Consider the following 25,492-nt stretch of genomic DNA (forward strand, 5'->3'; position numbering starts at 1 on the left):
ATGGGCCAGGCACTGTGGCTCACACCTGTAATCCTAGCACTTTGGGAGGCCAAGGAGGCTGGATCACTTGACGTCAGGAGTTCCAGACCAGCCTTGCCAACATGGCGAAACCCAAAAAGTTCAAAAATTAGCCAGGCATGGTGGCCCGTGCCTTTAGTCCCAGCTACTCAGGAGGCTGAGGCAGGGGAATCGCTTGAACCCAGGAGGCAGAGGTTGCAGTGAGCCGAGATTGTGCCATCGCACCCCAGCCTGGGCAACAGAGTGAGACTCCATCTCAAAAAAAAAAAAAAAAAAAAAAGATGGTGGAGATGGGTTTAAGAGTAAGGAAAGCAATAATCAATAGATGCCTATAATCTCTGAACACTCTTCATTACCTTGGATGCCCCTTGTTTAATCTTGTCACTTTTGATGTACACTGCAATGGTCATCAGCATACCTTTCAACCCTTCCTGTAGACAACTGCCCAAACAGCTCATTTAGGCCATGGGCAGTTTTGGCAGCCTTGGATGCTAAATGCAGCTGAATTCACCTACCTTTCTACACCATCCATGGCTTCTGAATCTCCCCCATGAAGACACTCCATATCTTGCCTGCATCTTTTTCATGTCTGTGATGGAACTGCAGTGGTTAAGAATTTGACTGCAACAGGGTGTGATGCCTTATCATAACAAGGAAGGTATTTACTACAAGTTGATAGCAGGACCCACCGCTTATCTTTCAGCTAGAAATAGATATATTTGACAAAACATCTATGTAATACTCTGTGCCAGATTACAGTCATGTGCCGTATAATAACATTTTGGTCAATGACAGATCACAAATATGACAGTGGTCCCATAAAATTATAATGCCATAATACCATATTTTTATTGTACCTGTGCTATGTTTAGATATGTATAAAATATATACATATCTAAAGAAATTTCACAAATAAATACTATTGTGTTACAATTGCCTGCATATGTAGTACAGTAACATGCTGTGCAGATTTGTAGCCTAGGAGCAATTGGCTATACCATATAATCTAGGTGTATAGTAGGCTATACCATCTAGGTTTGTGTAAGTATGCTCTATGGTGGTCACAGGCCAATGAATTACCTAACAATGCATTTCTCAGAATGTATCCCCATCATGAAACAATACATGACTCTATATGAATATACTAGGTTTGGTGGAAAATTTTGCTTTATAGGAGGTATTATTTAGGGTCTTTTCTAAACTGTTTTTCAGAAGACACTCCACAAAATTTATAAATAAAATAGAATGGTTTTCTCTCTTACCTAATAGTCCAGGGTGGCAGGTAGACGTTTCTCCACAAGGCCATCTAGGGACTCAAATGTGTGATGCATTTCTGCCGCTACTGCCACAAATGCTGTGAAGCTTCCATCTCTGGGTCTAGAGAATTTATTCCAGTAAATTTCTTTACAGGATGAAAGATATCTCACCAGCACAAGGGAGGTGGGAAGAGAACATGGAAGTCAAGCACCTTTTTAAAAGATTTGAAATGGAAGCTGTGCACATGACTGTGGATCATACCTCTCATTCACGGCCACATACAGCTGCAAGTCTCTACGCTTATGGCCATACAGCTCAGCCAAAAGGGGTGTATGTGGGAAGTTCTGTTAATAAAAAGAGGAAGGGGAGAATAAATAATAGTAGGGGACAATAACATTCAATTTAATATATACATTGAATCAAGGAATACTTCACCACAATAACCACTAAAAGATACACACACACGCACACATACCCACACACACTACTCCTATCGATGTCTATCTATATAAGATATATATATATTATATCATATATATAATATATATCTTAGCTGAAAGTAAAGGGAAATATCCTAAAGCACTGCTCAGTTCTGTGAATACCCTAAGCACTTTTTATAGACATAGAGAGGATCTCAGAAGACTAAGACTAGCATGATGTTTAAAAGGCAAACCAAATATATGGAACTAGAATAAAAACTTATTTTGAAAAGACACAGCTAAATATTCTCGTGTAAACTTTTTGAGGCTGTTTTAGTGAGGGTTACTGTTTGTATACAGCAAACTCTAACTGCACCTAGCACATGAAAACTAATTAGACTTATTAAAAGACTCTCCAGGGCTTGTAGACGTAACAGCACCTTGGACTACAGGTTTGAAAATAGGCATACGTTAAGAAGACAGTTTCAGATTGAGATATAAGAAATACAGCAACCATCTTCACCAGGAGAAACATGGCTAGCTAGGATGATGTCTCCACTGTTGTGGGACTATTACAAATGAATTACAACTTTCACTTTGTCTTTGGCTTATTCTCTCCAGATATAAAGTCTTAGGTGGGAGTATATGATTAGCTAAGACTTCATCACATGTCCTGTACTCTGGTTGCCTCTGTAACAAAAGTGGGGCAATTTCTCTTGCCAACACTACACATAATGGAGACTCCCCCAAAACTCAGAAGGGAGGTAAGATGCAAATTAAACAATTTTTAAGTCTACTACAGATCCTGGCAAAGGCTTTCTAGTTTGATTTTATAGCCAGTGGTGATCTGCCTCCAAATCCTATCTATCTTGAATTATGGCTTATGCAGGTTTAATAAGTCACCTCTTACTAGTTTAATTCAGGAGCCTCTTCTCTTGTCTTGGACATTTTTGGTAATTAAGCCTACTCTTTCTACTTGAAACAACCATACTCATGTTTCAGGACTTTATCTCCCTCTGATTCTGCCTTCTCTGGTTGTTCTCTATCAGACTTTCATTTATTTCTCTATTTTCAAAAAACTGATTTTCTCTAGAAATTCAGTCTTTGCTTCTTTTTTCTTCTGAATTTCATACTATGAGCAACACCATTCACTTTTTACTTTCCACATTTAACACATATATAAATAAATTCCAAATCAACATACTTCCTGCTTGGCCTCTCTCCTCGTAAGATACAGATTGGAATTAAATGCTTACACCAAGAACTTCACATGCCCATAACCAAACTAAATATGTTCTCACAAATTGTTTTTTTCCTCTTAATCTCTATCTTTATGAAAAAACACTATTTTTAATTGATGCAAACAGTTATTGAATCTTCTCTTTCTCTTCCTCAATCTCATAACCCCCATGAACATCCTTTTGGTTGTCAAGATCTATTAATTCTACGCTTAAGTCTTGCTTCTTTCTCTCTGCTCTTTTCTACCCTTACCCTCCCTGTCTTAGCTTAGGCCCTACATATTGTGTCTTTTAATGAACTGATGATGGCCTATGGGTCAGTTATGTCATACCATATTTGTCTCCTTGGTGTTTAGTGCTTGGGATATAGTATCATTATCGAATTGAAACATTTTAAAATTCCATTGTAAAGGAGAAACGGTCTTGTATATATGACTAAATATATGTGCATCTGTGCCTACATTCACTATAATCATTATGACTTAGATAAGATGTAAAATAGATTTAATGACTAAAATATATGAACAATATATGGCAATTTATATGTGAATTACTGTTTGAAGTATATGTGAAAATATCAGTGGGACATTTTAAAATCTTCTGTACACACTCATGTGTTCAATATTGAGCCAGTATATGAATGAGTCAGAGTAGCTGTGGCTTCTTGAGCTGGTTGCTCAGCTATTCCTGTGCTTTCCTTCTTTTACGTTTCTTTGTTCCACTTTATTTTACCCCAGTTTTAAACTCTTGATAATTAAGTATGCAATACAGAGTTCAAAATCTAAGTTACATTTTCTGTGGATATTTTAAATTAATAATGGGAATGGAAATGTATCACTCAATACACCTCTAATTTCAGTATTTTATTTTTTTAAAGTTAGCATTTGCAACTATTAAATCACTGTTAGTTCATTAAGATTAACCTTTCCAAAAACAATTAGCTCATTTCATATTAGTCCATTTTTATACTGCTATGAAGAAATAACTGAGACTGGGTAATGTATGAAGAAAAAGAGGTTTAATGGACTCACAGTTCCACATGGCTGGGGAGGCCTCACAATCATGACAGAAGGCAAAGGAGGAGCAAAGGCACGTCTTACATGGTGGCAGGCAAGAGAGTGTGTGCAGGGGAACTACCCTTTATAAAACCATCAGATCTCATGAGCTGTATTCACTATCATTAGAATAGCATGAGGAAAACCCGCCCCCATGATTAAATTAACTCCCATGTGGTCTCTCCCATGACATGTGGGGATTATGGGAGCTACAATTCAAGATGAGATTTGGGTGGGACATAGCCAAACTGTATCAGAGTGCAATGACAATTTTTGTACAGTAAGCTGGATAGAGGTTACCTGGGGCTTGGTAAAAAAAAAAAAAAAAAGCCATGGTTTATTTATATTAAATAATTTTAATAAAGTAACATACACATAATTAGGAAGGTATTACACACTAAATTTATATGCAATTTTTTAAATTAAAGCTTTCCGTCAGTTTTCATTCATGATCACAGCTTTCTCTTTTTAAATAATGGATGTTATATCTGAAGTGACTACATACAATTCCTAATCAGGACTTTCATTTTGCTTTCTTAAAATTGTAAAAGACCGTGATTGATAAGCCATACGGTTCAGGCCAGGAGGTGATAAATAATGTAAAATCATTTATTAAAGCATTAAACATTTTACAATTGGGATTACACTTAAAGAATATAAAACTCTCCATTTTTTATTGATAAAAGTAATGTTGAAATTTTTCAAAACACAAATGGATTTCAAATTCAATAGTACCTTTAAAAAATTTAAAATACTTTATTTCCAGCTTCATTGAGATACAACTAAAGTACAATAAACCACATATCTATGAAGTATACAACCTGATAAGGTTTTTATATATGTATACACCAATAAAACTATCACTACTATTAAGAAAATGGACATATCAATGACCGTAAGTCCTATTTATACATCTTTATGACCCATCTCTCTTTCCTCCATGTCTTCAGGCAACCACTAATTTACTTTCTGTTTCTACAGATTAGGTTTCATTGTCTAAAATAAAATCATACAGTTTTCTCTCACTCAGCATAATTAGAGATTGATTCTTCTTGTTTAATCTGTTAATCATTTATTACTTTTATTGCTGAGTAGCATTCTATAGCAGGAGTATATTTTCTTTATACATTCACCTGTCAATGTACATATAGATTATTTCTAGGTTTTTGCATACCACATATAAAATTGTTATAAACATTCATTTACATATCTTTGTGTAAATACATGCTTTTATTTGTGTTGGGTAGATGGCTAGATCACATTATAGGTATATGCTTAAGCTGCCAAATGTTTTTCAAAGGCTATACTATTTAACATTTCCACCTGCAGTATATAAAAGTTCAAGTTCCTCCACATCCTAGTTAATATTTGGTATGGTAATTCTTTTTAATTTTATCAATTCTAATAGGTATATGGTGTTTTACCATTGTGGTTTTAATTTGCATTATTTTAATGATTAATGATATTCAGAATCTTTCTGTTCTTATTTGATATTCACATAACTTTGCTGAAGTATCTGTTCAAATATTGAACACATTTTTATTGGACTCTTCATCTACTAATTATTGAGTTTTGAGTTTTCCATGTAATCCAGATACAAATCATTTGCTGGGTCTGTATTTTGTCAATATTTTCTTCTGTGCCTTTCCTTTTCATTTTCTTAATGCTAATTGGATTTGTAGTTAAAAATCTCACAAAGAAAATTGCCAAGCCCAGATATCTTCACTACTAAATAGAGTTAATAATGCATGTAGAAGTAAAGTATATGAAAACAAAGGAACAAAAGCAGAGGGAGAGGAAGTGGAAGAATTCTGTTATAAAAGACCTTACACAGTATGTGAAGTAGAATGAACTTACTTGAAGGTATACTTCCTTATATAAGGCATAGTTTTTGCTTCCTTTATTTTAAATAAAAGATACAAATATGCTAAATGCGAAAGTTTGTGAAAAATATTTCATGCTTACATTAATCAACAGAAAGATGGAATGTCTATATTCATATAAGAAAATGTAGACTTTAGAACAAGGAACGTTTTATGGGATAAAGAGGGTCTTTTATGACAAAGTCATTAATTCATAAAAAGTCATTGCAAATCTAAATGTGTATACACATAATACTAGAGCTTTAAGATTTATGAAGCAAAACCTGATAGAAATAAAAGATAAGAATAGATAAATTCACAGTTATAGTCAGATATTTCAACACTCCTCTCTCAATAATTGATAGAACAAGTAGACAGAAAATCAATAAGAATACAGGAGATTTGAACAAGGTTAACAACATGACATTTATAGGACACCCCACCATAAAACAGCAGAATAATATCTTTTCAAGTGAAAACAGAAATTTTTGAAGACATAATTTTATGGGCCATAAAATACAGGTATCAATAAATTTAAAATAATTCAAGTATGTTTTCTGAAAAAATTGAATTAGTAATCAACAACAAAGTGATTTCTAGAAAATCCATAAATATTTGAAAACTTAATAACCTACTTCTAAGTAACACAGGGGCCAAAAAAAAGCACACACACACACACACACAAAGGAAATGAAAAGTTATTTTGAATTAAACAAAAGTGAAAACACTGTATATCAACATTTGTAGGATATAACTTAAGCAGTGCTTAGAAAACTTTATAGCATTAAACACTCAGAAAAGGTGAAAGATCTCAAACCAATGATCTTAGCTTTAACCTAAACTAAAAAAGAAGAGTAAATTATATCCAACAAAAGCAGAAGAATGATAAGTAATAATTATAAATATGTAATAGTAATTAATAAATATAATAAAGATAAAATATACAGAGATACCTTGAAGCTATTGCAGGTTTCATTCCAGACCACTGCAATAAAGTGAATATTGCCATAAAGCAAGTCACATGAACTTTTTGGTTTCCCAGTGCACATAAGCATTACATTTACACAATAGTTTAGTCTATTAAGTATACAAAACATTATATCTAAACAAATGTGCATACCTTAGTTAAATTTTTTTTTTTTTTCTAAAAAATGCTACCAATCATCTGAGACTTCAGGCAATCCCAAGGTTTTTGATGGTGGACATTCTTGCCTTGATGTTAATAGCTACTGACTAATCAGGGTAGTGGTTGCTGAAGGTTAGAGTGGCTATGGCAACTTTTTAAAATAAAAGACCAGTGAAGTTTGCTGCATCAATCAACTTTTCCTGTCATAAAAAATTTCTGTACCATGCAATGCTATTTGATAACGTTTGACCCACAATAGAACTTTTTTCAAAATTGGAGTTAATACTCTCAAACCCTTCTGCTGATTTATCAAATAAGTTTATGAAATGTTCTAAATCATTCATTGTCATTTCAACAAGGTTCAGAGCATCTTCTCCAGGATCAGATTCCATCTCAAGAAACCATTCTTTCTCATCTATAAGAATCAACTCCTCATCTGTTCAAGTTTGATCATGAGATTGAAACACTCCAGTTGCATCTTCAGATTCCTCTTCTAATTCTCTTGCTATTTCCACCAGGCCTGTAGTTACTTCCTCCACTAAAGTTTTGAACTCCTCAAAGTCATCTATAAGGGTTGAAATAAACTTCTTCCAAACTCCTGTTAATGTTGATATTTTGACCTCCTGCCATGAATTATGAATGTTCTTAATGACATCTAGGATTGTGACTCTTTACCAGGTTTTTAGTTTACTTTGCCCACATCTTTCAGAAGAATCACTATCTATGACAGCCATAGCCTTCTGAGTTTCTTTTCTTTCTTTCTTTCTTTTTTTTTGTTTTGACAGGGTCTCACTTTGTTGCCCAGGCTGGAGTGCATTAAGCCTCAAACTCCTGGGCTCAAGCAATCCTCCTGCCTCAGCCTCCTCTGTGCTAGGACTACAGCCACATGCCACCATACCTTGTATGTTAGTCTGTTCTTGGATTGCTATAAAGAAACACCTGAGGTTGGGTAATCTATAAAGAAAAGGGGTATATTTTGGCTCACACTTCTGCAGATTATACAGGAAGCATGGTGCTGGCATCTGCTTCTGGTGAGACCTCAAGGAGCTTTAATTCCATGGCAGAAGGTGAAGCAGAAGCAGGCATGTCACATGACAAGAGAGGGATCAAGAGAGAGAAGAGGGAAGTCTTGCACACTTTTAAATAACCAGATCTTGCATCAACTCAGAGTGAGAACACACTCATCATTAAGTGGATGGCGACAAGGCATTTGTGTGGGATCCCTGCCCCCATGATCCAATACCTCCAATATCTTTGGATGTTTGTTCCCTTCAAATCTTATGTGGAAATGTAATCTCCAATGTTGGAGGTGGGGCCTATTAGGCCTACATAAGATTTGAAAGGGCCAGGCATGGTGGCTCATGCCTGTAATCCCAGCACTTTGGGAGGCTGAGGCAGGTGGATCAAGAGTTCAAGAGATCGAGACTATCCTGGCCAACATGGTGAAACCCCGTCTCTACTAAAAAAAAAAAAAAAAAAAAAAAAAAATCAAAAAATTAGCTGGAAGTGGTGGCACACGCCTGTAATCCCAGCTACTCAGGAGGCTTAGGCAGGAGAATCACTTGAACCCAGGAGGCGGATGTCGCAGTGAGCCGAGATTGCGCCACTGCACTCCAGCCTGGTGACAGAGTGATACTCCATCTCAAAAAAAAAGAAAAAAAAATTGGAAGGGAACAAGCATCCAAACTATATCACCCAGCTAACTTGATTTTATTTTTTGTAGAGATGGGGTCTCCCTATATTGCCCAGACTGGTCTTGGAACTCCTGGGCTCAAGAGGTCTTCCTGCCTCAGCCTCCTAAAGTGCTGGGATTACTAAAGTGCTGGGATTACAAGTGTGAGCCCCGCTATGCTTGGTCTGAAATTTATTTCTTAGAGAATAAGGCTTGAAAGTTAAAATTACGCCTTGATCTATGAGTTGCTTAATGAATGTTCTGTAAGCAGGCATAAAAACAACATTAATTTCCTTGTACAGCTCCATCAGAGCTCTTAGGTAACCACGTGCTTTGTCAATGAGACATAATATTTTGAAAGAAATCTTTTTCTCTGAGCAGTAGTTCTCAACAGTGGCCTTACAATATTCAGTAAACCATGCTGTAAACACATATACTATCATCCAGACTTTTTTTTTTGTCTCATTTATAGACCACAGACAGAGTAGATTCAGCATAATTATTAAGGGCCCTAGGATTTTCCTAATTATAAATGAGCATTGGCTTTAATGTCAAGTCATCAGCTACATTAGCCCCTAACAAGAGAATCAGCCTGTCCTTTGTAGCTTTGAAGCCAGACATTGATTTCGTCTCTTAAGATGTAAAAGTCCTAGATGTGATCTTCCAATATAAGGATGTTTTATTTAGGTTGAAAATCTATTGTTTAGTGTAGCCACCTTCATCAATGATCTTAGCTAGATGTTCTAGATAACTTGCAGCAGCTTCTACATTAGCACTTGCTGCTTCACATTATATTTTAATGTTATAGATATGGCTGTTTTTCCTTAAACTTCACAAACCAACCTCTGCTATCATCAGACTTTTCTTCTACAGCTTTTTCACCTGTCTCAGCCTTCATAGAATTGAAGACAGTTAGGGTCTTGCTCTGGATTAGGCTTTGGCTTAAGGGGATGTTGTGGCTGTTTGATTTTCACTTCAGGCCACTAAAAATTTCTCCATGTCAGCAATAAGGCTGCTTTGCTTTTTTATTATTCATGTGTTCACTGGAGTAGATTTTTAATGTCCTTTCAGAACTTTTCCTTTGCATTTATAACTTGGCTAATTGTCTGGCACAAGAGGTATAGGTTTTAGCCTATCTTGGCTTTCAACATGTTTTCCTCAATAAGCTTAATCACTTCTAGCTTTGGATTTAAAATGACATATATGGAATTCTTCTATTCACTTGAACACTTACAGGCCACTGTAAGGTTATTAGTTGGCCTAATTTCAATATTGTGTCTTGAGGAATAGAGGGCCCCAAGGAGAGGGAGAGAGACAAGGAATGGCCAGTCAGTGGAGCCAGTGTGTCAGAATACACACATTTATTGATTAAGATTGATGTCTTATATGGGCACAGTTTGAGATGCCCCAAAACAATGACAATGGTAACATCAGGGATTACTGATCACAGATTACCATAACAGATATAATGGTAATGACAATGTTTGAAATATTGTGAGAATCACCAAAATGTGACAGAGAGACATGAAGTGAGCATGTGCTGTTGGAAAAGTGGTACCTTATGAAACACAAAGTATTGCCACAAATCTTTTATTTGTAAAAAAAAAAATCTGCAAAGTTCAATAAAGTGGAACTCAATAAAATGAGGTATATGCCTGTGATTATATATAGTAATAAAGATAAAAGCAGATAAAAAGAAAACCAATGAAGAAAGTCAGTACAATTGAAATTTTGATCCTTAAGAAAGTCAACTAAATTAATAAACTTCTAGCCAAACTCATTAGGAAAATTAAAGAATAGACGTAAATGACCAATATCAGAAAAAACTGGTGATATTAGATTCAACAAACATTGAAAAGATAAGAAAAAGATTTATATATGAACAAATTTATGCTAATAAACATAACAAGATAAAATGTTTACATGCCTTAAAGATACAAACTACCAAACTCAACAAAGCTCACTCAAGAAAAAACCTGGGTATCTCTAATTGAATTTTAAAATCTTCTCAGAAAGAAAATTTCAGGCACAAATGTCTTCACTGCTGAATTCTACCAAATATTTTCAATTGTACTTTAACTCTTGCAGAAAATGGAAGAGGAATGAATACTTTCCAACTCATTTTTAAAGGACTACCTTTCCGTAACACCAAAACCAGATGAAGATATCACAAGAAAAAAAAGCTACTGACCAATATCCCTCATGAACATAGAAGCAAATATTTTTAAGTAAATTTTAGTAATACGGTTCAACAACATGTTAAAAAATACATCATAATTGAGTTTTATCCAGGAAATGAAAATTCAGTCTGAAAATCAATGCATGTAGCTCCCCATATTAACAAAGTAAGTAAGAAAACCTGTGTGGTCATCTGCATCGATGTAAAGAAAATATTTGACAAAATTTAATGTTCATTCATGATTAAAATAAAAACTCTCAAAAAGCTAGGAAAAGATGGAAACTTCCTCAGCCTGATAAGAGGCATCTTTGAAAAACTGTTTTATCAGTGTCCCACTAACGCTTTCTGGCTTCAGAAGTGGGTGTCTGGTAGAGAACTTCCTTAACACCATTCAACAGCTCATGAGGACCACAGGAAGTACCATTAGGCTTAGGGTGATCTCCAGGGAACTCAAAATAAGACTGCTTACAGCTGAAGTTAATGGCCCTAAGTCTCATCTTCTCCAAGGCCTACATGGCTTCCCAGGGCAAAGAGGCTCAGTGTTTTTTTCACAGCCTCTGCTAACCCTAGAGTACAAGCTTCTCGTAACAGAGATGGTGTCTTTCTTTTGCTCACTAATTATGCCAAGCATAACACCATGACGTAGCATTTTATCTATACTTACTTACTACGTTATTATTTTTTTGGAGGGGAAGGTGTTAAAAGTGAGAAATTAAAATTAAAATGGTTTCCCTTATCACCAACATATCAACCCCTCCTTCCAACTCTTTTGTCTAGGATCGTAGGATTCTTGGACATCAGGGAGGAATAAATAAGGAATGTCTTGGAAGGAGGCCCAAATCACCATTTTCTCACTGAAATTAAATTAAGCTGTTGAAAGAAAGAAAGAAAGAAAGAGAAAACCCATGATCCAGGGTGTAGTCTTTTTTCATCTCCCCTTTAAATACTGCTCTTTTGTTATTAACATACTTGTTCATTTGATTCTTATGATGAAATGTGTGTTTTTTTCTTCTAAAGCATATAACAATCATCTAGATGGTCATTATTATTATTATTCACTTTTGACATGTATGCTGTGAACTATCAGTGTCTGCTGACACATTGGATAAATATCGTGGTGGAGAAACACTGTAAGAATACTTTGGTGATTGACTTGATATTCAGTTTTCATTTGGCTGTTTTTAGCACCATAAGATTCTTATTTTATTAGAATTAATTCTATTTAGTGACCCTTCTGCAAGTATATTCTGACCCTTTACAGTAACAGCCAAATACATTTTTAGCTCATTATCTGGTACATTTTATCGTGCCATCAGCTACATGAAGAGCTGATATACTCTTAGTGACCTTCACATAGAATTAAGTTTAGAAAGGTACACAAATGGCATACAGTTAATGCTAAAATAAAAAAATAAGCATATACATATATATCTATACACACATATATACATATATGCACACACATATATAACAGGCTTTTAATGTATTGAAAACTTGGAAAAATGGGAACTGGATTTTAAGAAATTTCAGTAAATAAATAAAACTTCCTTTTTGCTAACTTCAAATCTATCCTCAGGAGATCCTATTACATGATTTAGGAGAAAAATACATGCACACACACACACACATTCACACTCATATTTGGGATGAAAATACAACCTCAGAAGTTTCCTATTTGAAATAATAACGATTCTTGAAACTGACTACTATTGTTCATCCCCTCCAGGAATGATCTCCCAGGTTGAGAAAACAAAACCTGGAAAGAAGTCCAAATAATCTACAATGAATTAAATCCTCGCATTCTTGAGAAAGCAACTTGAGATCAGGGAGCAAATTAACATATAACTTCATCTCCAGATGTACCCTCTTGCATTTTTAAACCTCTGCTGAACCAGCTTTCTAGTTTTAAAAAGGTTGTTTATATTAAGAGCTCTTGAATTATTATATTTAAGGCAGTATTTCTTATATTCAAAGATTTTTATAAAAAAAACTAAGTTCAATTATATTTAACATTGATCAGGCTAAACTACAATTGGAGCCCTAATTAATGTTTCAAAAATTTAGACCACTTAATGATCATCATCAGCAGGTACTAATAATTCTTGGAGTCCCAAAAAATGTCCCAGGCAGTTTCCATGTTGCATTTCTCTTGGTCTATGGAAACAAGTGGCAAGAGTAGTTGAAAGTAAATGAGCTGTTCTTTCAATTTAATTCAAGATGTTTTCAGTACTCTGAATAAAAGACTTTAGAAACTGTTATTTTTTTCTTCTGATCTTTATAATGCCCCTTGAATTAAAAGCTAAGCTGACACTTTAATTGTGGTCAGGCCAAAGCAGTGTATTCATAGACTGGATAAATGCTAATTTGTCAGCCAGGCTAAATTATGCATGTCCTTCTATCTTCCCATTTCCCATGACTGTTCGCAGTTGGGGGTTGCTTCTCTATCCCTGGTTTCTCTAGAAATCTTTGCAATTGAATCACTAAGATGCTTCCTGTTAGTGAGAACTAACTTTCCCTCTCCCTGTCTTCCCTACTACCTCTCCTTATGCTTTTGTCTTCTACAGGAATATTTGTGAATTGTGCAAGAAGAATACACTATGTGGATTATTTCTAAAATCAAATGTTTGAAATTAAGGTAAATTTCATTTTTATAACAAAGTTCTTAAAGGCACAAAAAAGAAAATAGACAAAACAGTAATCCACAGTGAAAAACATAGAAAGACTCTTATTTGTTATTGGAAAGGGTAGAGACTTGAACAGATTTTATTTGTAATTTGTTATAACTTTATAATAAATTTGTGCAGAATTATATTCTGAGATAAATTTTAATACATTGCCATTTCCACATATGGCTGGGGAGAACCAAGACAAAGGTAAAATAGTAAGTTAATAAAGATCAGCAGTCATTAACTTGTATTGCAAAGAGCCTAAGCAGTCACTGAGTTAGATGAGGGAACTCCAAGCAATGGATTCATCCAGAGTCAATTTGATGACTCTTCTTCAAGAGTCTTCAACTGATTTATATATTGAGATTTTCTGTTAGATTTTTAAATAAATCTGATTTATACCTTGAGACTTTCTGTTAGTGTCTTAATCTTACTGCTGCTTTAAAAAGAAACAAAAGTTTTGAAAACCACTGAATTCAACTGTAGTTATGCCTACCATAACTACAGTTATGAAGATTACATGAAGATTATACAAGAAGAATGGCTGATGCAAATAAATTATTTTTCAGTCAATTCTGAGCCTTCCAGCAAGATAGCTAGCATTTCTTGAAGATGAGGTTTCTGATTTGTTGGTTTTGGTGTTGCTTACTCTGCAGCACAGTGAAGCCTCCAAAAATACTTCCCCCATGTATAAATTCATTTTACTAATCTTAGCCAATATCTTCCTAGATAAAAGGGCCATCAAGATTTCCAACAAGGGTCTTTACCATTTGATTTCCCATCACAGGGTGAGTTCTGAGCATAGAAAGCAGCCTGAAGCCCCAGGATTCAGGTCCCCAGATTACGAAGGACTGGACAGGATTCACTCCTGTAAGCAAAGTTCTTTTTCTCTAGTACTGTGGTTTCTGGAAGAAACAGTTGTTTAGAGATAAAAAATCAGGAAATCCAAAATGAATAAACATGTGAAAATGTAGAAATTGACTGTTGGCGAGGACTTGAAGATTCTTTCCATATTTTGAAGATGTGGTTAAATATTAAATATAATCAAAATGTTTCTACAGTTGCATGGCCATTTCTTTCTGTCTCATGCATACTTTGGCATTGCCTTGATGATTTTACCTCTGTGCCCCAGACTCTCAGTTTTGGCTCTGAAGGAGTTAATCTACTACTTATACTCCCTGCTCGTCCTGTGTGGATCTTGTATCACGAGATGATGAAATATTTGACTGTACATGCCACTCAGACTTGACTAAAATAAGAAACATCACTTTCTTTTCCTAGTCACGTATTCACTTAAAAATATGTCTATTCACGTATCATGTACATGACTCAATAAGAAATAAAACATTCTGGGCACCATAAAGTAAAAAGAAACTTTGAAATAGCCCTTTACCTGGTTAAGTTTTTAGGACATTGTAAAGGTTGGCAAATTCTGTCCTATGGACCAAATCTAGTATGTAGCATGTGTTTGTATAGCTTGGGAGCAAAGAATGGTTTTTACATTTTTTAATGTTTTAAAAAAGGAAAAATATTTTATTATAGATGAAAATGATTCAAAATTCAAATTTAGTGCCTATGAAAAAGATTTCTTGGAGCTACACTTATTAATTTAGGTATTGTCTATGTGTCTGCTTTTACATAATAATCAAAATTGATTAGTTGTAACAGAGACCTTATGGCCCACAAAGTCTAGAATATTTACTTTACAGAAAACATTTACCAACACCTGGAATAGTGAATTTCTTTATTTATAGCTGAATTTCAACCTGAATTTTGCATCATTTACTCAATTTCCCAATTTGGATGTCAGTCTGGGTGCCATGTTTTCTCTGGTGGCTCTTCTTCTAACTTCTTGATAAGATTATCTTTTTCTCTCTAGACATAATAGCCCTTAAGTTGGCTTATGCTAACTTTTTGTTCTGTCATTCAAAAAAGAAAAAAAAATGTGTGAACAAAACAAGGGAAAGAATACCAGCTTCCTTTGCTATGGGATGACACTGATTTGGAGCTGAGATTTAAGAATATACCCAGATTTAGGCCTGAAATAGCCTAATATTTTCTGTTTCTCCCTTTTTGGAAAAACTAAGACATTTTCTCTCCTTTTCCTGTTTTATAGTTCGTGTGCAACAGCTTGTCAATTGCTCAATAGTCTTGTTTGCTTCAGAGATATCTGAAGTTACACTTAGAGAAGAGGAAAATTTAGAGAAGAGGAAAATCAATTTGGCAGTGATTTAAGAGGTTCCTTAGGGATGCACTGAGGCCCATCATTTTTGTTTCTTGATGGCTCAAGATACAGTTTTGCCATCTGATATAGGACTACTTACTAATCTATGATTTAGTAGCAGATATTTTAGTGATTTTTTTTTGTCATCCAGACACTCCCTGTCCTAAAATAATGCCTGATTAAAATGAATCTTGTTTCCTAGAGAAATCAGCAAGGCACTGCAGATTAGCTATTTGTAAACTCCTTCTGAATCTATCTATAACACAGTGAAACAGGAATTAGAAGCAATATGACTATACTCTGGAGCATTTTCTTTAGGTGTTTCATCCACAGAAACAGCTTTGAGCTGTGAAAGCACTTCTGTAAGTGTTTTGAATTTAAATTCATGCAATGTGCTAATTATTTACTCTATAGAGTGTTTCTTGGCTCACATACTTTTTGTATGATTTTATATATGTGTGTTATATATATAGATATATGGCATTCTAAATAAATATTGGCTAGTGGATCAAGCTTTATAGTGCGACTAGCACTTATTGTTTTCCTTAAATGGGATACTATTCATAAACTTTATACATGTATCTTTTATTTTTATTTAAAGGATTATAGAAATTCCAGTGTTCATTGCAAATAAAATATTTGTGATGGTGAAGGATTAATTACTAAAGTGTTTTATAGTACTCTCCACTACTGATTTTACATTACATGTTTATTTGTTTATTATCTGTCTCCTTCATTAGAATGTAAGTCCCATGAGTAGGGTGTTCAATTTGTTCATCGCTGTATCCCCATCACCTAAAACCATGCCTGACACATAGGGTGTGACCAATACTTATTGAATGAGAAAATTGTCTGGCACCACTCAATCTGTAAGAGCTGGAATAGAGAGAATAACATATAGTGGATAATACGAATTACCTGCAGAAATCACTTTAAATGTCTTCATAATTTCAAGTTGATAAAAGGAAAGAAAATCTAATCCAATTTTGACAATAAGGGGAATCTGTAGCTGTATCAGTGATAGTAATATCTCAGCAAAGAATATGTTTACATAGAAGTCAGGAAAAGGGAGCCTCTAGGGTAAGACTGTTACAGTATTTTACTTCACTATGAGGGTGAAATTCAATGGCCAGGAATCTTGAGTAAGCAGACCCCTCTTCCTACCAAAGGAAGTAAATTTCTGCAGCCACTAAGATCACGCAACCAAATATCTATACTCTGACTTTACTCTCATTACCAGAGTTTTCATTATAATTGAGCTTGCTCTTAAATGAAGGGAGAAGCCTTACCAGTAGATTTGGGCTGAATTGGCCAGTCTTCTTGATATCACTGCAAATATATAAATCAGCATTCTTTTGAACTCTATGTGAGTTTGCTTAGTGTTTCCTGAAACTGACCACTCCTGGGGACTCTGAGTGTAATGTTTTGATTGTTGTCCCTTTGCTGCCTTAGAGACTAATCAGTTTTCTCAGGTTAGAGAAAACTATCTCCAGTTTACTATTTTCTATCTCCTGGAGGACAGAGATCTCCATAATACCAGAGTTTAGTATGTTATTGGTATTATCGTAGTGAGATTCAGCTACATTAGGCTGGGTTAACTAAAAAACAAAACAACACCACAAAGTGAAACAGAAGGAAAACAAAAATTTTTGAAAAGACACAGTGGCTTAAAACAATTCTAATTTTTCTGTTGTTTAAGCAAAGTCACATGTCTAGGAGACTCTGTGGGTAACTGATCTCCACAGAACAACTTAGTGATTTGGCTGAGAAAGTCTGAACCATCCTAAAGCCACAAAATCTGGAACTTGCTGGCCAGCCAAGTGGGGAGACAGATAATATGCTGGCTTGAAAATGCTGTCATACAAAAGAAAGACTCATTACATCAACTCATATTTCATTCGCCAAAAAAAGTCAAATTGACCATCTATATCTAAATGTGTTTGAGAAGTGCAATTCTCTTATGGAAGGCAAAGGAGTACTGGAAAATTTGGTGAACAACAATTATATCTACTACATGTTAAAAGAAAGAGTTAATTCGAATGTGCAATTTAAAAAGTCAGCTTGCAAGATATTTAACAGCTTAACATTACTATTTTGAAAAAAATGCGGGATTTTTATATTATATGTATATATATACTCACACACACATATATACACATACACATATATATCCACACGTATATGTGTGTATGTATGTTTGTATGTAGGTATGTGACATTATATTCACTCTACTGGTAACTTCTCAATGATTTATCACCCACTCTACTGATACCTAGAACTCATAAGGATCTCAGTAAACTGGTTTAATCAAATACTATAGTTGGGAACATTTTAAAATATTTTTTCTTTATGATTTTATAAAACATCCTTAATCTCTATTTAGAATTTGAATCACTTGAATGTGGCAGAATGACTTAATTTCTCCCCCTGTAGTTTCATCTTCACTAATGAGAAGTCATTTTCACTTCTCTTAGCAAAAGGACAAGGCAGGAACTTTCCTTCCTGAAACCCAAGGCTTTAAGTCTTCCAGAAAAATATAAAGACACATCTGTTTTCCTAGCTTTTAGAGAAGAGGAGTTGGATTATTCAAGAGAGGAAAAGGTGTGCCTCAACACTGAGAGGAGGAGCTTAAACTCAAGTCTTGGGAGCCATGGTGGTTTTTCTTTGCTGAGATATACAGCAGGGATTGGAGGCTGTGAGCAACAGACCACCATGCCTTAGAATGCACAACATGGACTTGGACAAAGATGATCTCAGCATCAAAAATGATGGACTAAAGACCAGAGCCCCTTGCTTCATTTTCTTAGGAGAGTATGTCTCCTAAAACCTTCTGTAGGGATCTCTATGTCATATATTACACATTTCATCATAGAGAGACAAAAATTTTTACTTGATAAAAAAAAATAAAGTAATTGGATACTTTTTATGAGAAATTGTAAAGGAGCAAATGCATAGCATTGCAAAATGAGCAAGCTTAGTTCTTTGTGTGAATGTAGTTTTCCAGAACTTGTGTGTATGCTATTAGTAAGTAGAGTTTGTAAGTCATTTTACTAGCCTGTGTTCTAACTCTTCTCAACTATTTCCAAGAAGTGAGACATTTTAAATCTCTTTGAATTTATTTAGATTTTAGTTGTCTTCTAAACAGCAGCAATATGTGTGTGTGTGGGGGGGTCAATTTCAATTTTTTTTTTTTTCTAACTGTATTGTAGTGATTTAAGGAAGCACCTTCAATGCATATGAATAATGAAGTTCTAAAAAGCACTGTTATTGCTGCACAAAGGGAAACATTGAGGACTAGAAGAATTAGGGAATTGGGATAGACTCTGGCTGCATCTAATGATGTGGAGAACTGGTGCTGTTCCTTGATGATCAACTTAGTATAAATAAAAGCCTTGCTCAGATTTGATGATGATGCTACTTTCTATTCCTTTTTCCTCAGGCCCCTCATTGGAGACTTTCCGTAGTTCAACTGCAGAATTTATTCTTTATTTTATTAATGGGAAAGGAATAGTTTTTAGGCCTGTAATTTCTAATGTGATTCATTATAGGACTAGGAAGATTGGGCTTCATGAAGACTGGTCTGGCATTGATCAATTCTTAACCATCAAAGAGACTTGATTCTCCAGGTATATCTGAGTGCCATTCTGAAGTGTAAACCACAGACAGTCTCCTTGGGATGTATGAAACCATCACAAGGACAGAGGTGAAAACTGAGAAATAATTCATTCAGCCAACAAATATGTATTCACAAACTACTTATTCAGAATGATGTGGCTGCTAAGGACATGATAGTGAATAATATAACGCAGATCCTATATCCATTGGGCTATGTTTTAGTTGCTTTTGTGGGGAGAAACAGTAAACACGTAAAATTTTATAGATACGTTTTATGAGAGTGAGTTGACAGATGTATTAGTCAGGGTTCTCTAGCGGGACAGAACTAATAGCATATATGTCTATTAGTATGCTATTGGTATATATGACATATATATGGAGAATTGACTCGCACTATCACAAGGTGAATTCCCATGATCAGCCTTTTGCAAGTTGAGGAGCAAGGAAGCCAGTAGTAGCTCAGTCCCAAACCTCAAAAGTAGGGAAGCCAACAGTGCAGCCTTCAGTCTGTGACCAAAGGCCCCAAGAGCCCCTGGCAAACCACTGGTGTAAGTCCAAGAGTCCAAAAGCCAAAGAACTTGGAGTCTGACATTTGGGGCAAGAAACATCCAGCACGGTAGAAAGATGGAGGCCAATTGGATTGTGCCCACCCACATTGTTAGTGGGTCTTCCTGAGGGTGAATCTTCCTCTCCCAGTCAACTGACTCAAATGTCAGTCTCTTCTGGCAACACCCAGAAACACCCATATAGACCCTGAAACAATACTTTGTGTCCTTCAATCCAATCAAATTGACACAATATTATTTTAATATTAGTGAAAGTGAGATGTATTGGGTAGAGATCAGATAAGGAAGCTCACCTAGCCTTGACTTTGCTAAATAGCTGTGTGATCTGAAGAACTTAGCTTAGCTTGGATGAATATTTCTTATCTATAAAATGAGAGAGCTTGGCAACATGATCTGTACAGGTACTTCTCTTCTAAGACCATGTAAGTCCAATCTTAAACAAATTAAGTTAATATATGTAAATCTCTTAGAACAAAGTTTGGAGGAATGTAAGCGCTTTCAGAGTTTCAGTTATGATATGAAAATGATTATAATTTTCCTTTTAATCTGTATTCCTTTCCCTGTCTTGCATAGTTTTAATGTAAAGTAGACCATTCTTCCTGAAACTCCCAAAGATGTTATCTGTGAGATAATAACAGAAATATAATTAGCTCTTATTAAGTATGTTGAAATTAGCCAAGGACTTTTAGAAAATCATTGAAAGGATTTTTTTTTAAATAAGGGTTAATTCTTTCTCAATGATACCTGTAAGTGTATAAATGATCAGATTTTAGGTGGGTTAAAAATTTCTCATTTCATTGTTGCATATTTTGTGTCTAGTATAATGTGCAGTAGGTCAAATGTTAATAAACTAAGTTTTGATATCTCAAATATAACTGTGCTATGTATAGTAATATAACGTTTATTGAATGACTATTATTCTGGGGGAAGATCCTTTGTCCTGTGTTTAGCCTTTTGTGATTTTAACACAATTTTAGCACATTTTAAATGAACAATTTTCTTTTTTTCTTTTTTTTTGAGACAGAGTCTCGCTCTGTTGCCAAGGTTGGAGTGCAGTGGCGTGATCTCGGCTCACTGTAAGCTCTGCCTCCCGGGTTCACGCCATTCTCCTGCCTCAGCCTCCTGAGTAGCTGGGACTACAGGCGCCCACCACCATGCCCGGCTAATTTTTTGTATTTTTCGTAGAGACTGGATGTCACCGTGTTAGCCAGGGTGGTCTCGATCTCCTGACCTCATGATCCACCCACCTCGGCCTCCCAAAGTGATATTTTTAACAATAATAAATAATAATAGAATAATAGTACAAATCTACCATAGATTTAGTGTTAAATATGTACCAGAATAGTACTAAGAAGCTTACTCACATTATCTCATTAATCCTGGAAGTTGTTATTGTGTTAGTTTTACAGACTCTGAGATGATTTACTAATTAAAAACCTGACCAAGGTAGCAGAGCTGGGAAAGAGAAAGACCAAGCTCCTGGGAATAATTAATGCGCTGCACTGTGCCTCTATTCTGATGACCAGAATAAAACTGTCTTGTTTAGGTGAAATAGCCTTTCAAAGCACTGTTTTATTAAAAATGCAAATATTTAAATTTCTACATCTGTATTCATAAATTAGATACTTCTCTAATTTTTAATAAGCTTTTTATTTTAGCATAGTTTTAAATTCTAGTTTTAGATGGAGAAGTTAACAAAAATTATACAGAGATTTCTCATACACCCAACACTGTTTCCCCTATTGTTAACACCTTACATTATTATTATGGTACATTAGTCACAGCTAATAAACCAATATAAACACATTATGATTAACTAAAACCCATACTTAATTTATATCTCGTTAATTTTAACCTAATGTCCTTTTAATATTTCCGTTCTAAGATCCGATTCACATACCAAATGACATTTAGTCGTCATGTCTCCTCTGGCTTCTCTTGGCCACGGCAGTTTCTCAGTTATTTCTTGCTTTTGTTGGCCTTGATACTTTTGAAGAGTACTGGTCAGGTATTTTGTAGAATGTCTATTTACTGTGTTTATTTGATTTTTTTGTTTGCTTTTTTGATTTGACTGTTTTATGGGTTTGGGGGAGGAATATCACAGAATTAAATTTACTTTCCTATCACTTCATATTAAGAGTACATTGCTAGGCTAGCAACATGACTTATTGCTGTTGATGTTAACTTTAATCATCTGGTGGAGGGAAGAGTTTGTTAGGTCTCTTCAGTGTAAAGCTAGTAATTTTTCTCTGTTTCTATACTTCCCTTTTTGGAAGGAAGTCATTGTAAGCAGCCCATATTACAGAAGTTTTGCTTCACTTCCTGGAAAGAAGAGTACTTACATAAATTATTTGGAATTCTTTTGCATGGGTAATTTGTTCATTCTATACCATTGATTTATGTATTTGTTTGTTGTTTGTTCGTATCAGTATGAACTCGTGGCTATTTATTTTATATATTGTATTATAATTCAATACTATATATATTTTTCTTGCTCCAATTATTACAGTTTTATTCATGGGAGCTTTTTCAGTTGTCTCAAGTTTCTTTGACATACACTCATCATTGTATTTATTTGTTTGTTTTAGCATTTGCTTACTTTCTGGCACTATAAGGTGCTACAGGCTCATCTTGTATATTTCTTCCCTCAGTTGTAGAGTAAGACATTTCTCTGAGTAATCTAGTTCTTTTTACTGAAGAATTGTATCAGAAACCAATATCTGAGTGCTATGTGTGCTCTTTGCTATTGGAGTGTTGTTGCTTTTCAGCCCTCTCAACTGACAAAGCAAGGAAATATGTATATACTGATCCAAGTTTATACACATATGTATAAACATTTTCTATATATAACCTTCTATATTTATATTAAGCTAAACATGAGTTCATGCTCATATCTCCAACTGTAATCATTATTACATAGATCATTTTAACTTTGTCCTCTTGCTTTTCTGTAACCTCCCACTTCAACAGTGATAAACTTAACTTCCATTAATTTACTTGTTTGATTCCAGCATATGGAATTCATGTGTGTATAGCTGCATCTCAATTCATATGTGTATAGCATAATCAGAACTGTTAACCTGTACTCCTATGGGAAATAACTTTATTAACTAGAGAACAGAGCTTACGGACAGTTGCTTTTGTCTTTAGTCTTACAGACTACTCATTTCCAAAATTACTTAGGACAGCATCCTTTAGTGAGGATATTTTATACATTTGTAATAGTTAGATTCTTTCTCAGAGTTTATATTCCAACCTGGAACTTCCTGATCTCTGAAATAAATTTTAAAAATTTGAATAAATGTAGGTTTATTTTTTGTTCAGTAAAGTACTCTGGGTGTCATAAATGCAGAATGTTAAGTATACACCCTAACATTTTCAAACCAAATAGTTTCTCAGCTCTCAAAAAATATCCTGTGTTTTACCTATCAAATCCTCTCTACTCCCTAAACTCTAAACACTGATCTGCTTTGTGTCTCTAAAGTTTTGTATTTTCCGAGATGTCAGGTAAATGAATCACACAGTGTATTTCCTTTTCAAAACTTCACTAAGCAATGTACATTTAACATTTATCAGTGTTTTTTTTGTGGCTTGATAGCTCATTCCTTTTTGTTATTGAATAGTATGGATGTAGCACTGTTCGTTTATTCTTTCATCAACTGAAGAACATCTTGCCTCTTTTCAGTTTTTAGTGATTATAAAGATGCTATAATCTTTTGCATGCATTATTTTGTGTGGTCATTAGTTTCAAACCAGTTGGATAGATACCTAGGAGCATAATTGGCAGAATATATGCTAAGGCAATGTTTAGCCTTGTAAGACACCAACAAATTGTATTCCAAAGTGACTGTTAATGTTGTAAAGGCAAAATTTTTGTCAGGAGGGTGTCTGGGATAGAGATAGAATAGGTTTAAAAGGGGATGCTTGTACCTTTCTATTCTGTAGAACAGATTATAAGAATATGAATTATCTGTTTTTTGAAAAGATGAAAGAACTGAAATAGCATCTCATTCCAGATAATTTTCTTTCTTTTTCTCTTCTCCCTCTTCTCTTCCTCCTTATTTTTCCTCTGTGCTTGCTTGCTATGTATTTACAATTTCTTTGTTCCCGTTCAGATGTTGACGCATATGTTGTGTCCTTCAAAACATCCTTCTCAATTCATGATGTAAGTGGTTGAATTACAGTTAACCTCTGGTGTATGAAGTTCCTTTTCTTCCTTTTTTTTCACGCGGTGTTGCTGATTGTTGAGTTGCTTTTGATTTTCCTGACTGTTCAGTGATAATTTAAGTGGGAACATGAGTGTCAGTCTCAATCAGTTTCTGCCACATTCTGATACAAATCGTATATCTGACCAAGCAGAGAATTTAAAAAAAGTATCTTTTTCAATACATTCTATTTTGCTATGATTTTGGACATACATGATATAAAGCAGTTTTGGACATGTGTGAAATAAGACAGCTTAATTCCACTTTTTGTTTTTGATTATCATTTCTTTTATGATGTCATTATAAAGATCTTATTTGATCTTTTCCTTTTTCTGTCTATACTTTGTCTCTTATTTGCTGCTTCTAATCTGTGATGGGTGGAGATATGGCTAAACAAGTATCAAGATTAAATAAGGAGCACATAATATCTAGTAATCTTAAATGCCACCATATACTATCTATGTTCATCTCAACAGCACTGAAAAGTAGAAATTTTTTCTCCAGTCTTATAGACAAGTAAATTGAATGAAATTCATAATATATTTTCAAATGTTATAAATAAGAAGTAGCAGAACTGGAAATCCAGCAGAGATTGTGTTTTTCCAAAAGCTGACATGCTGCCCATGTCTCCAATTTTTTTGCATGCGAAAGACCTAAAGAGTGACATACAAAGCTTTAATATAGAGACTTTTGAAAAACTCTGTTATTTAATGGCTTTTTTTCTCTATATTCTTTCTGCTAAGAAATCCTGGAGGATGGAATCTACCAAATGTTTGACCTTTGAAATGTAGGTTTAACTGAATTTGCTTTTTCTACACTTCTTTACTTGCTTTCCCATTTATGAACATGTAAAATTCTGCCTCCATGCAATTTTCATTGAAGAAACAGCTAACTGAATTGGATTTCTGATTTATAAAGCAAGTCCTTTATGTTCTTCAAAGAGCTTACCCCAAAGGACCAACTGATAACATAGCCCTGTTGTAAAATAATTCATTATAAAGGTCTGAAACAGGAGCTTTCCACCCTATCAGCTAGACGCATGTGCCCTAGTGATATTATCCCTCTCGGGAGGTTTTGAGCATCTTTGGTTCATTTTGCTCTATAGCTTTTACCATGCAATCTGTATTTGTGTTTTCATAACTGCCTCAGACTATACTATTGCCTCCAGAGACAATCTCAAATTAGAAAAAAATGTGTTACTAAAAAAAATCTTCACACTTTCTGAGTTTTTCTTATTTCAATGTGAAATATTTCTGCTTTTGGGCAGTTATGTTTGACTTACCAAGTAAGAAGATGACAACCTTACTTATCAAGTAAGAAGATGCATAAACCAAAATTTTATAATAGTATTGTACTTCATGGGACTGTAAAATTTAGTGAAATTTCAGAG

At 34.6% G+C, this 25,492-nt stretch overlaps 2 long non-coding RNA genes across 5 annotated transcripts in view; one reads left to right on the top strand and one right to left on the bottom strand.

Moving 5' to 3' along the window:
• Positions 1-25,492, top strand: part of LOC105377949 (uncharacterized) — a 79,927-nt gene that overhangs the window by 40,417 nt on the left and 14,018 nt on the right. Inside the window, exons 3-5 of the long non-coding RNA XR_001744304.2 lie at positions 10,736-10,992; positions 13,391-13,461; positions 14,280-14,362. This is a non-coding gene — a long non-coding RNA (uncharacterized LOC105377949). The remainder of the gene's footprint in view (positions 1-10,735; positions 10,993-13,390; positions 13,462-14,279; positions 14,363-25,492) is intronic.
• LOC107986634 (uncharacterized) overlaps positions 1-25,492 on the bottom strand; it is a 117,445-nt gene that overhangs the window by 941 nt on the left and 91,012 nt on the right. For 2 of the 4 annotated variants that reach the window (XR_001744301.2, XR_001744300.1), the window contains 3 exons: positions 1,537-1,619; positions 1,281-1,395; positions 534-721 (listed from right to left, as the gene is read on the bottom strand). This is a non-coding gene — a long non-coding RNA (uncharacterized LOC107986634). The remainder of the gene's footprint in view (positions 1-533; positions 722-1,280; positions 1,396-1,536; positions 1,620-25,492) is intronic. The other 2 variants (XR_001744302.1, XR_001744303.1) reach the window with 2 other exon arrangements.

Source organism: Homo sapiens, chromosome 6 (genome assembly GCF_000001405.40).
Source record: "Homo sapiens chromosome 6, GRCh38.p14 Primary Assembly".
NCBI lineage: Eukaryota > Metazoa > Chordata > Mammalia > Primates > Hominidae > Homo > Homo sapiens.